Raw genomic sequence first — 14230 nt, 5'->3', positions numbered from 1 at the left:
GATGCAGACATAAGTAGATTAAACATGGACATCATAGCTGCCTTGATGGAATTTTCAAAAGCAAAATCTGAATGTGGTACACAGGAAGGCAAAAAGGTAAATCATTTATTTGTTTATATATATATATATATATATATATATATATATATAACCTCTCCGGAGACTTGCTGCTGAGAACAAAGGGTAGGGGGACCTGGGCTGCATCATTCTGGAAAAGGAAGGGCTCCAAACTGCGGAGGGAGGTAGGGTGCATAACGACATTTTGTTTATTTTAAAACATTTAAGCTCCTTGGTGAAAGAAGCTGTATTAGGTTGTTGTAAAAGCAGTCGCGAGTTTTTGCATTTACTTTCAATGGCAAAAACCGCAATAACTTTTGCACCAACCTATAGATGCCTGCTAATTATTACATAATGCATCTTTTATTCATAACTGTGTGTACTGTTAATCCTTATCTTCATCAAATCGGTTTCATTCTTCTTGGTTCCTTATTTTGCCATGCCCTTGGCCTTGTGCATTATCATCTAATTTATCTCCTATTCTCCCCAAGACACTTTAGAACTGCCCTTCATGCTTCCACCCCCATCTTCTTATGTCTTCCCTCTGTACCCTCCCACTTCCAGGCTCTGCTCTGGAACATTTATGCTGTTTGTGGCCCTCAGGGCACAGGACCACGGGATCCTTTTTCAGTAGGAACAACCACCAGGTGAGATGGACCTGTGAGGTGGGAATTTCCAGATACTCCCTGGAATCCATACCCAAGTCCCTGCACAGTGTTCTCCACTCTCTCGGTTCTTTTCTTGTTTGCAAGCAGTGTTGGTGCAGCTGAATGCAGAACCTTCCATTAAAACCTGAAAAGAGAACATTGGAGCAGCCCCAGTTCCATTTCCTCCATGAAGTGTAAGCGTAACATGCCACACTGCAGCAGCTGGGCTGGAGGAGGAAGGCAGGCGAACAAGTGAAGAGCCAGAACGCCAAGACTCGTTTCCCAACAGTGCAACTCCACACTACTTATCTCTCTGAAAGATCTGAAGCTTGAAGGAACATCTTAATCTCTCCCCAGTGATTCCTCATAGCATCTACATGACATGTCAATTTCTCAACTTACTTTTCATGATAACAGTGAAAGTGAATCTTCAGTCAATATGGGAATGAATGTAATACTGGGTAAGATGAAGAGCAGAGCTCTGGGCTCAGACCGTCAGTTTGAATTCTGGTTCTAACACTGACTAGTTTCAGGACTGTGGGAATGCATGGAGAGGTGGAATCTCCTCTGACTCAATCTCCGTTCTAAATGCAGGCTGTGAATCAGCCAGGGGCTGAGACCTCTGCTGGGAACGCTTCCTGAGAAAGTGTTCTCTGTGAAGGTCTCCATCATCCAACAGACACTTCTGAGATCTAAGGTCCACTCTCTGCCTCATCTTCCACATCAGCCCTTTTACTGAACTCAGATCAGCTCTGATGAGCCCCTCTGGTCACTCGGGGTCATTTCTTACCACGTGAGAGAAAGAACATGGGCTCATCAGGCCTCACAGGCCACTTCCCAAGCGTTATAACTTCATTCCGTTCTTCACCATACTCTTGTCTGTGCAGGGAGGGGAAGTGCAGGGGCCCAGGGGCTGTCATATTTCTGCAGCCCTCAGCAATGTTCTGCTGTCACTGGCATCGTCTTCCCTCACTTCTGTTCAGCAACTTTATGAAAAATAAGGAAAATGATCAAAAGTTGGTGTCTTAGTCTGTTCATGCTGCTATAACAAAATCCCATAAACTGGGTGGCTCATAAACAACAGAAATTTGTTTCTCACACTTTTGGAGGCTGGAAAGTCTAAGATCAAGGCACTGGCAGATTCAGTGTCTGGTGAGGGCTGCTTCCTGGTTCATGGACAGCACCTTCTCACTGTGTCCTCACGTGGTGGAAGGGGTGAGGGAGGTAATGGGAGGCCTCCTTTTCAAGGGCACTAATCTCATTCATGAGGGCCTTATCTTCAGCACCCACTTACCTCCCAAGAACTCCACCTCCAAATACCGTCACATGAAGGGTTAGGATTTCAACATATGAATCTGGGAGTACACAAGCTTTCAGGCCATACCAGCTGGGCAGGAGGTCTGCAAGGAGAAGTCAAAGCAAGCAGGAACTGTCTAACATGATATTGCTCGAAGCGTTGTGGGAGAGGATGCTGAGCCACTGTCCTGGAGGAGAAAATGGCTGGACGTCGAGGACTGACACAGGCCACTAGGCTGATAGGCAAGCTTTATCCATCTAAAGATAATATAGATTATTCTTTTCCATATGTCTACACCTAAAATTCAACAGGGAAATACCCTTGTTCTTGGTCTGTAGAAATAAAAGAAAAGATTTGGGGATGCTAAACCCTCCAAAAATACTATCAGCATTGTCATGCACTCACTGGGTTAGCAAGCTCCTAGCTTAGTCACATGCAGAAGGAAGACTGCTTCTCAGCCCTCATCTATTTTCTCTCCTCTTGGAAGAAGAAAGACAGGAAGTGCTCAGTGGCTCAATTCAATTATCATAAGCATTCAACCATCTTTAACTAGAGCTAATGAGCCTGAAGGATTTTTAATGATGTTTTATTGTGTCATTATTTTGTTTTAAGTATTTTAAGGAATGTTTTGAGCTTCTGACATTTGCCTAAGGGCAACTAATTCTAAAGGGTTCATTTGATTAAAAGCATACATCAATAAATCAATGTAATACTGACCTTTGCAACTGAGTTCCTGAAATATTTATCCTGCAACTTGGGACAAGGCTTATGTTCCTCGTTAAGGATAGTGATGGTACAGAACCTGCAAGTGCTAATCAACCCAATATGAGGAACGTTCTGGTTTTTAATTTGTCAGCAACTGCATTTTATTCATGCTGTACCCAGAAGCCATATGTGAGATCCTTATCCTTCTAAAAGCCCAACACAAAATTCTCATGCATGAACATTTTATTCCTGATCTCTGAAAAGTTCCAATAATTCCCTCTGAATCCAGAGAATATAGTTTGATACAAGTGAACAAAATGGTCCCTGAGCATGTAGAATTGGAATTCTATTTACAGGCAATGTACTTACTACAGAAAATCTCTCGTTTTTTAAATCTCCTTGTGATTAATCCAAAACAGAATTTCTCCACTTTACACCAATCTCATCCATCAGGTTTGGGTCAGGATGTCTGCTGGTCCTTCTGCAAAGTTAAATCCACCAGGAAACAAGGAAGATTTGCCACCACCGAGGTCAGGATTGTCAAATGGACGTGCTGCAGCCACACTGGAGACCATTTCAGAATGGGGAATTCCCAAAACACTCCAGGCTGGAGGTGGCAAAGTCCGGCCACTACCAAATCTGGCTGCCACCTGTTTTTGTAAAACCCACAAGCTGAGAATAGTTTTTTTACATTTTTAAATGGTTGAAGGGGAAAAGAAAGAATTTCTATGACATGAAAATTACATGAAATTCAATTTTTAGTGTCCATAATGAATTTGTTGGCGTGCCGCCATCCTCGTTCATCTAAGCAGTGTCTGCTTTCACACACCCACAGAGTTGTCATTGCAGCACAGACTGTACGGCCCGCAAAGCCAAGAGTGGCTGCTATCCGGCCCTCAACAGCAGCTTCATTGGAATCAGGGGAGTCTGCACTCACTTGCAAATACAGGTTTGAGGTGGGTTGTTGAATTGGCCTCGTGTCTTTGCCTCTCACTGGCAACAGTGCCAGTGCTCCACTCACTGGAGTGAAGATGAAGAGGAGGTTTGTCTTCATCCTTCATCACCCAAGTATTGACTTGGCACCTGTCTCGGGGCCATGGGCTGCCCAGCATCCTGAGAAACACACCGAGTGCCTTGAAAGTACAATAACTCACTTCTTTATTGTGGTAAAATATACATAACATAAAATTTACCATCTGAAACATTTTTAAGAATACAGTACAGTGGGGTTAGCTACATGTCCATTGTTGTGCAATAGATCCCCAGAACATTTTCATCTCCTCAAACTGAAATTCAGTTCCTACTAAACACTAACTCCCCACTCCCTCCTCCCTCCAGCCCCCGGCCACCACCATTCTACCTTCTGTCTCTATGAATCTGACAACTCTAAGCCCCTCATATGAGTGGAATCATACAGTCTTTGTCCTTCCGGGCCTGGCTTATATCACTTTACATAACGTCCTCAAGAAATAACTAACATTTGCTTGATGCTTGAAAGTTTACACAGAATTTCCTTGTGCATTATTTCACTTACTTGGCACAGCTACTTCGTGGGGTAGGTTACTTTAATTCCATGATAGCAGATGCCATTGGTCAGCCCTGAAGCCACCCCTGTAGTCACTTGCAGGTAGATCCTGTACCTGCCCATGGCTCCCTGTGTCACTCTGCCTAGACATATTCCCTGCTTTAGGCCATGCTCGGCCTGAGCACAGGGCAGGCCAGGAAGAGCTGGGAGTTGACGTCGGGGAGTGATGCTCCCTATTGAGGGGCAGGAGGTGGGGGTCGGCGCCACGGCTCCTTCGCCCTTCCAGGAGGGCAGTTCTGAGGTGGGGCCTCACTGTCCTGGGCCCTTGTTCTCCTTCACTCACCCTTTGCTAACTTCCTCCTTTCCCTGTCTAAATTCCCCACTTTCTCCCATGCTCCTCTGGATGATGGCCACATGAATTACTTGCACTAAATCCTTGTCTCAGGATCTGCTTTGGGTGGAACTCCAACTAAGTCACCAGTCACAGAGATTAACTTGTTGACACTTGCCAAGCTACTAAGTAGGCAGGCTTCCAGTCCTGTTTTCTCATTCCAGAGGCCTCTGCCTCAGGCATTAACAGGCTGGTGTTGGCCAAAATGTACCATACAGGTAATGTCAGCATGAAGCCTGCAAATCACTCCTTCCCCACAGGAGTGCCTGCGGAACAATAACCTCAACCAGGGCACCTTGCAAAGATGCTGAAGACCTCAATCAGACTGCTCTGTAGAAACGTTATACTCAGTGAACTAGTCCTATTTCCAGCAGGATATACCTAATCTGTCAAGATTGTCTATTATAAATAAATTTGGGATTTATAGGTTTATGGGGCAGGGAGGCTGGAGAAAGGGTACGGGTAGTCACATAAGTATATTCTACTTGTGTAATGAACAACGTGCAAAATGGAGGCACCCCCAAACTTCACCAGTTTCCTTTGAGAACAATGTTTCTTTGTATACGTTGCTCAAAACTCATCAGTCAATGTGAAACCAAAGCGTGTGCCAATGTAGGAGAAGGGGACATTTTGGGAGAGCTCAACAAGATGGCAGAATAGAAGATTCTCTGGAACCATTCCCCCCACAGAAATAGATTCCAACTATTCAAAGACAAGAACACCACCCTGAATTCACCAGAACTTTGGGGAGAAGCTGAGAAACCCCCTAGGTCCACAGAATTGAAAGAAGCCAGAACTGGTAAGAGAAACAATCAATTCGGACTGTGCCACCACTCCCAGCTGGCATAGTGTCACTCAGAGAATGTCTCTAGATCCATGGTTTCCAAGGTGACAGGAGAGAATTACAGGTGAGCATTTTATCTCCCCACTGATCTGGTCATCTTCATGGGACACCCACTCTGGCCCCGTCCCACAGGAACCACTGGGAATGCCAGGATAGCTGAATGACCTGGGGTGAACTGGGGACAAAAAGCCAAGCACTGATTGCAGCAACTGGTGTACTGGTGCACTCTGAGCTCTGATCAGTGGGGACACCATGGTGAAGGGACTGGCTGGCACAATCCACAGGGAGGTCCAAATCCCTGGCTGCATTTTCCACGAGCCTAGGTATACTCGAGAGCCCTCCCCTGGCCTGGAAACAACAAAAAGCTCAAGATTAAGTTCTGATACCCACTTACATCTTCCCTGAACTGGGAAATGTTGACAGAGCAGCAATATAGTTCCAGGGCAATGTTTAAGTTCCAGTGCTCACCGCAAGTCTCACTCAGAACAGGAAGAAACAACAGACCAGAGTTTAAGTTCCAATACTAAGTAGCAAAGCTCTGACACCACCAAGAACCCTTAAAAAACTGTCAGAGGTGACTATCTTCTCAATTGCACGGGGATCGACGTGAAGTGCAAGGACTGTGAAAACTCAGGGGAAAACGACAACATCAAAAGAGATAACAAAGCTGTAGCAATGGACCCAGAAGAATTGAAGATCTCCGAAATGTCTGACAGAGAATTCAGAGAATCACAAAAAGTACAGATAGAAAACTAAATGACATTTGGAAAACAATCTAGAAGCAACATGAGAAATTTGACCAAAAAAACCCCAGAAATAATTAAAACTGTTGGTCTCCTCCAGAAAAGAGTGTTTCATTTGTGCCTGGCACTTGCCTCTTATCATTTGAATCATTAGTTTCATGTTGGGTAAGATCTGTAAGTCACTCTGAATTTGCTTTAACAATTCAACCCTTTGTATTAACATGTATATGTACACATTTAAATAATTAGTGTAAGAGGATCTCCTTATCCATGAATGACTGGTTTTAGTAAAAGATTGTTAAAAAGGAATCTTGTTAAAATGAGGACCAAAATTTCATAGAAAATCATGAAAAAAGTGAAATTAAAATCATGAAAATTGTTTTAATTTTGCTTTACTAAAACTCATTATAATTTCAACAACATGCCAATAATTTTAAGCAAATGAGACCCCAATAGCTGATTTTTGGCCTTTAGGAAAAGCTAAGTCTCAGGAGACTTCCTTCCAGAACACAATCACCATGTTGTAAGAAACCCAAACCACATCAAAGGGCCTTGTGTAGGAACTCTGGTCCACCTTTCCAGCTGAGCCCCAGGAAATGACCAGCCTTGTGAGTGTACCACCTCGATTGCCCTGCCTAGTCAAGCCTTCAGGTGGCTTCTGCCTCAGCCAACAACTCACTACAACTACAAGAGACGCCAAATGAGAAACTGAACTCAATCAACCCATGGAGCCTTGAGAAATGACAATACATTGTTCTTTTAAGCCACAAAAGTACTTAATTTTTTGGCATAATTTTTCTTTTTTTTGAGACGGAGTCTCACTCTATCACCCAGGCTGGAGAGCAGTGGTGCGATCTCAGCTTACTGCAACCTCCGCCTCCCAGGTTCAAGCAATTCTCCTGCCTCAGCCTCCCAAGTAGCTGGGATTACAGGTGCCCACCACCACACCCAGCTAATTTTTGTATTTTCAGCAGAGATGGGGTTTCACCATGTTGGCCAGGCTGGTCTCAAACTCCTGACCTCAGGTGATCTGCTCACCTCAGCCTCCCAAAGTGCTGGGATTACAGGCATGAGCCACCGTACCCAGCCAATTTTTCTGTCTTTACTTAATGGTTACTTTTGCTGAACATCAAAAAGTGGGTAATTTTTGCAAAAATATCTAAAGACTTCAGCAGTTTTCCCAAGAGCCTCTCTTCAACATTTGATATTAAAACGCTTCTTTTTGGAAGCTCCCATCTCATCATCATCCTTGTTTATTTACCTCTGATTCAGCTGCTAACCGGTCTAACTCTGCTCCATGCTCTTTTATCAATAGTTGAAGTGTATTTTAGCAGTTCTGTGACACCTCTCTTACCTCCTTCACAGAATCCTGAATGTTTGTCAAGATCATCAATTAAAGTTCGAGGACAGTTTGCACATTGACTCTCAGGCATCACAAGACTGATCCACAAAACTGTAGATGAGGCAGTGAGAGAGACTCTGGTGCTAAGCAGGGGGAGGCCTGATGGTACCCATTTTATAAGTGATACATTTGCTAATGTTTTCATATCAAGGATTTTTTTTCCCATATAACCTTGCAAAGTTAAACAGTCAAATGTTAGGTTAAAGAGAAAAGAAGCTTCTTGTTTGTGGAATCAAGCAAGCAAATACTTGATTGCTCCCACCTCCTCCTTTCTTCACTTCTACCACCCACTCCTCACCATCTCATTCAGCAGCCTGAACAGCTGGGTGTCTTGTCTTGTGCTGCTCCTCTCCATGAGAAAAAGCACAGGAAAAAGTATGTATGGCTTGATGTGTTTTCCTTTCCAGAAGTGATTCCTAATTTAAGAAGAGGTTGAGTAAAAAGACAAATTTCAACCTAACAGAACTACTCTTCTAATGGTGAAATTCTAGGGATGCCCGTAAAGCATCTTCTAAGTGCTCCTTAAACAACTCCATGAAGGCAGCCAACGATCCCATCTCCATCTCCATCAGTCACTGGAGCTGTGAGGCACAAAGAGAGGGGATGGCTGCTGGTGGCTCTCCAGTTGCTCATCTCAGTGCATACAATGCTGTCTCCAGAGAAACAACCAGTATGTGTGGCAGGGAGCAGGCTAGTCAAGGCCAGTGGTGCTGTTCACCAACCCTCCTCCATCCTGATTCCTGAAAATTCTGTCCTCCGTTATCCTGGACTGAAATTGATGGTGCAGGACAGAGAGGGAGAATTGCTGGCGAAATGCCATCGGGCAGGCAACAGGGGAAGGGGTTGGAGCATCTTAGCCAGGGTATCACCTTAGCCAGGGAGGGGCATAGTGAGTTCCCCCTGAGCACACAGGGGAGAGGCTGATATGAAGAAGATGGAGCTAGGTCAGCAGAGGGGACAGCGGGGATGTCTGGAAGAGTTCTTCCGGTTGCTTCTATTCCCCTTGTGTAAAGGGGAGCCAGCCATCATTTGCTGAGAGTGAGGAAGGGAAAGATGTGGAAAGTCTGGGAAAGAAAAGGTATGGCACGGTTATCCAGGAACTCAGCTTCCAGAGGCTCTCCTGAGTCTCTAATGCTTGAGCTGGACGTAGATGGATAAATGGAGTTTGCTAGATTAAAAAAAGGTAGAGCAGTCTGTGCAAAGGGAATAGCATAGCAAGGGGGACAGGGTGACCAGCGGTGTACTTCACTGAAAAAAGAATAGGGGCAGGCCCGGCGCAGTGGCTCACTCCTGTAATCCCAGCTACTTGGGAGGCTGAGGCAGGAGAATTGCTTGAACCTGGGAGGTGGAGGTTGCAGTGAGCCGAAATCACGCCACCGCACTCCAGCTGGGGCAACAGAGCAAGACTCTGTCTCAAAAAAAAAAAAAAAAAAAAAAAAGGAAAAGAAAAGAAAAGAAAAAAGAAACGGTGGGGAAATGAATGGGTTACAAGCACCTGCAGGACATTGGGTCAAAAAGTCCATTAGATGATTGGACACACAGGACTGGAGCCCAGCAAAGGGTTCTGGTCAGCAAATGTCTATTTGAGGTTCATTAATAAGCAGGTGATTATGGATCAGGATCCAGGGAGATTTCTCAGAAAGAGGAGAGCAGAGGCCCAGCCACTGAATTATGGAAAATGTGTCCATTTAAGGGAGGAGCAGTAGAAGAGGGAGGAAAGAAGTGAGAAGATTCCAATCAGGAAGATAGGATTCAAAAAGAGAGCTGGAGAAAAATGTAGCAAACTAGAATCCAAGAAAAGAGATAATTTCAGGAAGACTGTGGGTATTAAATGCCACAAAAGGCATAGGTAGAAAACAGCCCATCAGATTTGACACTGTGGAAGTTACTCACCTTCCTATCTGGACCAATCTCTCTATGATGGTCAGGCTGCAAGACAAATGGCAGGATGTTGAGGGGTGAATTGTGGCAAGAGTCAGGACAGTGAGTGTGGAAGAGCCTTTCCAGAAGGTGGTTTGGAAGGAAGGGAGGGAGGGGAGATAGAAACTGGAAAGGGCTGTGGGGCAAGGAATGGCTTCTGGTTAGGTGGAAGCAATTTGAGTCTATTTATATGTACAAAGGAAACAGCCCAGAGAGGGGTGCAGTGGATTCGACCAACACAGCAAATAAGCTGGGGCTACAGCAGTGAGCAAAGCTACGTCCCTGCCCTCAAGGAGCTTATAGTCTAGCGTGAAGAGACAGAGAACGAGCAAATAAGCAAATCGATATATGGCATGATGAGTGCTGAGGAGAAACCCCAGTGGGCAGGGGAGGGAACAGAAGAGGCTGCATGCAATATGGGGGTGGCAGGAAGAGCCCCTGCTGTGGTGACCTCTGCCACACAATTTTGTTCCTAACACTTGTCAAACAAACTTGTGTGCAGCCTGGTGTTGTAGTTATGCGGTGTCTCTTTCTCCTATGACATAGACAGCGGCTTCCGCTTCCCCGTCTTTGCCTTGTCCACATCATGGTGTTCTGCAGAGAAGGCTGTGCATGAATCTTTGTAGTAGGAATGCTACAAACCCTTCCCGTTCAGTTAGGACAGGCATTATCCAAACAATCTCCTCCCCATCCCCAAGGAATTCTCGGAAGTGGCACCTAGTAACCTACAATGACTTAGGCAAATTGTCTGAATGCCTAAAGGATACAAATGATTTAGTATTCTCTACATATTTGCAAATTTACTTAAATCTTCTTGTTATAGTTTTAACCTTACAGTTCACTTTGGGAATGGGTTTGGGGGAAGACAGAAAGAAATTAGTCTTTATAACCCTGCCAAACTCTGAATCCTACCTCCTACCTCTTGGTAAGGCATCATTTTAAAAGGTTAGAATAATTTTTATATTCATTATCACATTCGATTTCCCCACTTTATCTGCAGAAAAACAATAAATAGGGGCTTCCTATTAGTTCACCATATTTTCCTTAGGTAGAAATTCCTTGTATCTGATAGTCTTTAGGGTCCTCTTTGAGACTAAGATCCCCTTAGAGATGAGACGAGGTTGGCCCCCTTTCCCTACCCCAGAGGCCAGCACACAGCACACACAGGAGAGGACAGGAAACAGAGGGGAGTTGCTCTGATCTCCATATTCTGTTCTTTCCCAGGGAAAATGCTCTGTTTTCAACCAAAAACAAGATCATTCTAAATGTCATTGCTCCACACCCCATCTGGGCTCCTGAAAGCAAAGCTGCCTTGTTTCTGAATCAGATGTTGTCACCCACTGAAAAGCCTCCTGCATCCAAGCTTGGCTGGCAGTGGGGTCCTTGCTCGAGGGGACAGACTCCTCTCCCCCAGCGAAGCTGCCCCACATCATTTCTTTTGAGAAAGGAAGAGGATGGGGAAGGACAAGCAGCAACAGAGAACAATTACATCACTGCCTCTCTGACCTTTTAAAGAGCAAATGGTTAAAATAAATACTATCGGGCTCATTTCTATGGACTTGAACATTTTACAACCTGTAGAATCATGTGACATATTGCCCTTTTGTGGAACTCCTAGAAGGGACAGAAGGAAATAAACATAGCTATGCGACGGGCTTCACAGCTAAAACCCAGGACGTGCAGTGTCTGGAGGGCAACTCATGGCAGGCAAGAGGCAGAGCCCCCCCTGGAGTGCTGAGTAAAGATTCTGAGGAAGTCATGCAAGGATCTGTCATGAGCAAAAATATCAGAGTCCTCCAGGATGTGACCACATTTTCATTAGCCCTTGCCACTGAGCCTCCTTCCAGGTGTGATGAAAAAAAAAAAAAAAGCCTCAGGAGGAGAGGAGGCAGACAGGTGCAGAGACCCGCACTTGGCTGCAGGTGAGAACTCTGGCTACAAATAACCCACCTCTTCATGGGGGAGGAAGGTCCCAGTCACCCCCAGGAAGTCATAAATTCAACTCCATTCGTAAAAATGTTTATGCAATCAAAGGATTTCAAAACACAGACTTTCATTTCATCTAGTATTCCCACAGAGGGAAGGGGAGCCATGAGAAACTCCTCTACTGGTGGCCAAATGTATTTCTTCACAACCTGAAATGATGCACTAGCACATGGCTTGTTAGATCATAACATCCGCGATGTTTTTCAATAGAGGTGTAATGCCATGAAATGCTTTCATGCTGCAAGCAAAAAGAAGACCTTCGTAAATTTACATTCAACATGTAAAAACACATAATAACTTCTGTACATGATAGAGCTGTGTGTGTGTGTGTGTGTGTGTGTGTGTGTGTGTGCTTTACAAAACAAAAATTTATATCTTGTCTACCATTGAAGGGAGTGAGGAGAGACTGATATTTGTTGAACATCCACAATGTGCCAGGTGCTTTACAAGCCTCATCTTCTCATTTCATCTTCACAGCAGACCAAGGAGGTATAGACTATTGCCGCAACCATTTTATGAGTGAGAAAATGAGGCTCTGAGAGGTTTAACAACTTGCCTGAGGTCACACAGGAAGCGACCCTTGTTCTTCCTGCTACATCAAGCTGCCTCCTCAAGTTCCAACAAATAGTTTTGTTACCTTGTCCCGTACACATCTGTAAATCTTCCTGCAAAAGTCATTTTTATGGTTCATGGTAAGATGCTGCCAAAAGAGCTGAAAGAAATAGAGTCTTTGTCAAGTACAGAAATGACAGGTCATTTCCAGAAGATACAGTACAAGAGTTCAATTTCATCATTAATTAGTATCTCATGCATATGGGATGAGATGTTCTTCTGTATCACATTTAGGAGATACTTAAGTCATATTCCAAGCACAAACTAAAAATGACCTGTGTTCCACCATTTTTATCCACAACTTCCCTCACAGTTCTTAGACGACAGTCTCAACTGTGACCGTATTACAATTGTCTTTCTGGCGCCGAGGTTGCATTTCATCTTTGAAAGCCCTGGTCAGAACAACTTTTAAGGACTCCTTGAATCTCTTCTTCTTACTGCTTCCCACAAAGAAGTAAATGAAAGGGTTGGCGCTACTGTTGATTGTGGAGAAGAGCAGGGAAATGTGGTGTAGGTTCCCAAAGGTCGACCAATACTCATAGTACAGCAGGTAAAGGAGTCTCATGGGCATAGCGAAGATGAGGAATATAATGATGGTGACCATGATGACTATGTAAAGCTTGGAGGAATGGGAAGCCCACGTGTTCTTCCGGATCTTCACGACCAAGATGGTGCTGGACACCAGCATGAGGGGCGTGAAGACCAGGAAGCTCAGGATGGCTATAAAGATGATGACTGCTCGGCAGTCATTCCGAGAGTGACTCTCTTCTTCTCTGTCGATGCACATGACATACTCCATGGTGGTCACCAAGCAAGAAAGAGCCCACAGAAGGGCACAGACCAATGCCGACTGGTACTTGGGGCGATGGCATCGGTACCAGATGGGGTAAAGGACTGACAGGCACCTCTCCACACTAATGGCCGTCAGCAGATAGAGGCCCGTGTTGTAGCCAAACAGAAAAGTCACTGATAATGTGACAATTGTGTAGTAATGGCCAGAAGAAAGCTCATAATCTAAAGCATAGTCGATAGACAAGATGAAAATACAGAAGAGCAGTGAGATGTCTGCGATAGACAGGTGGGTGATGTAGACAGTGAAGGGATTTCTTCTCATCCGGAAGCACAGGAACCAGAGGAGAATCCCATTCTCAACAAACCCCACTGGGGAGATGCTCATAATGACCCAGTGCACGATGGGGATTTGCCGATGTGCATTCCCGACTGAGGCGTTCCTGCCAGTTGAGATGTTCGTGGGTTCCTCAACAACAAATGATGTCACGTTTGACCCATCCATGAGGAGGCCTCAGGTTGGAACTCTTCAGGTAATTTTCTGTAAATATGTCCAGAACAAAACAAACACAAAAAGCCATGAAAATTGTTGAATTGGAATAAAAGGGAGAAATTCAGCTATAAATCATAATCTTCATGTTATTAAAAAAAAGTTTAACAGACTCTACAGTTATCTTTGTCACAATGATAAGATTAGGCCTTTAGGACCTGATAAGAAAGGAACTTAGACCTGATAAGACTGAGAACTGATTGAATGACCCTTCTGGATCCCCAGTGATAACCATTCATTCTATATCATTGTGTGCTTGTGGCTTAGTGCCAAAAAGGAGATGGCCAGGCAAGAGTGGCCGAGTGCCCTGTGCGGGACCCATTTCCAGTTCTGGCCTGAGCTTTCCTAATGGCATTTTGAAAATCATTTCATCTTCTGTGCCTCCATTCATTTGCCTGAGGGACCAGGTGGACTGCATTAAGACTTGATGACAAAACGCATGTCTGGGCAATGCTGCCACTGTCATTTTTTAATACATGAAGTGCCATAAGCAGTAAGGAGAGGGAGTGCCTGGGACAATGGGTTTAATATTGTACCAATATTGCTTAAAGTGTGAACAATCAAAAGGCATTTATTTTACACGGCTTCAATATCTGCGACAAAGCTGGGCACCTGCTCAGACTACGTAAGCCAGGCAAGCCATTGATGTGTGGACTGGATGGAGAGCCCTAACAAGACGTATGTACGTCCCCACAGACCACAGGCCAGATGGTGCGGGAAACACCATCGCCAGATGCCAGACAAAGCACTCAAAAAAATTTT

At 44.6% G+C, this 14230-nt stretch overlaps 1 protein-coding gene across 3 annotated transcripts in view, besides 1 other annotated feature; it reads right to left on the bottom strand.

The window, feature by feature from the left end:
• Positions 739-1938: an enhancer, noted in NCBI's record as "CDK7 strongly-dependent group 2 enhancer chr6:160339473-160340672 (GRCh37/hg19 assembly coordinates)". NCBI's record gives its function as "activates an origin of replication core promoter dependent on BRD2, BRD4, P300/CBP, MED14 and CDK7 cofactors, with strong dependence on CDK7, by STARR-seq in HCT116 cells {active_cell/tissue: HCT116}" and the evidence as "EXISTENCE:reporter gene assay evidence [ECO:0000049][PMID:35650434]".
• Positions 2932-14230, bottom strand: part of MAS1 (MAS1 proto-oncogene, G protein-coupled receptor) — a 28661-nt gene continuing 17362 nt past the window's right edge. For 2 of the 3 annotated variants that reach the window (NM_001366704.2, NM_002377.4), the window contains one exon: positions 2932-13459. In NM_001366704.2, coding sequence (NP_001353633.1) covers positions 12446-13423 — 978 coding nt within the window. In that variant the 5' untranslated portion in view covers positions 13424-13459 and the 3' untranslated portion in view covers positions 2932-12445. The remainder of the gene's footprint in view (positions 13460-14230) is intronic. The other variant, XM_047418776.1, reaches the window with a different exon arrangement.

The sequence above is a fragment of the Homo sapiens genome, chromosome 6 (genome assembly GCF_000001405.40).
Source record: "Homo sapiens chromosome 6, GRCh38.p14 Primary Assembly".
Taxonomy (NCBI): domain Eukaryota; kingdom Metazoa; phylum Chordata; class Mammalia; order Primates; family Hominidae; genus Homo; species Homo sapiens.
The sequence above is the reverse complement of the archived record's forward strand: the minus strand, read 5'-3'. Positions and strand labels throughout refer to the sequence as shown.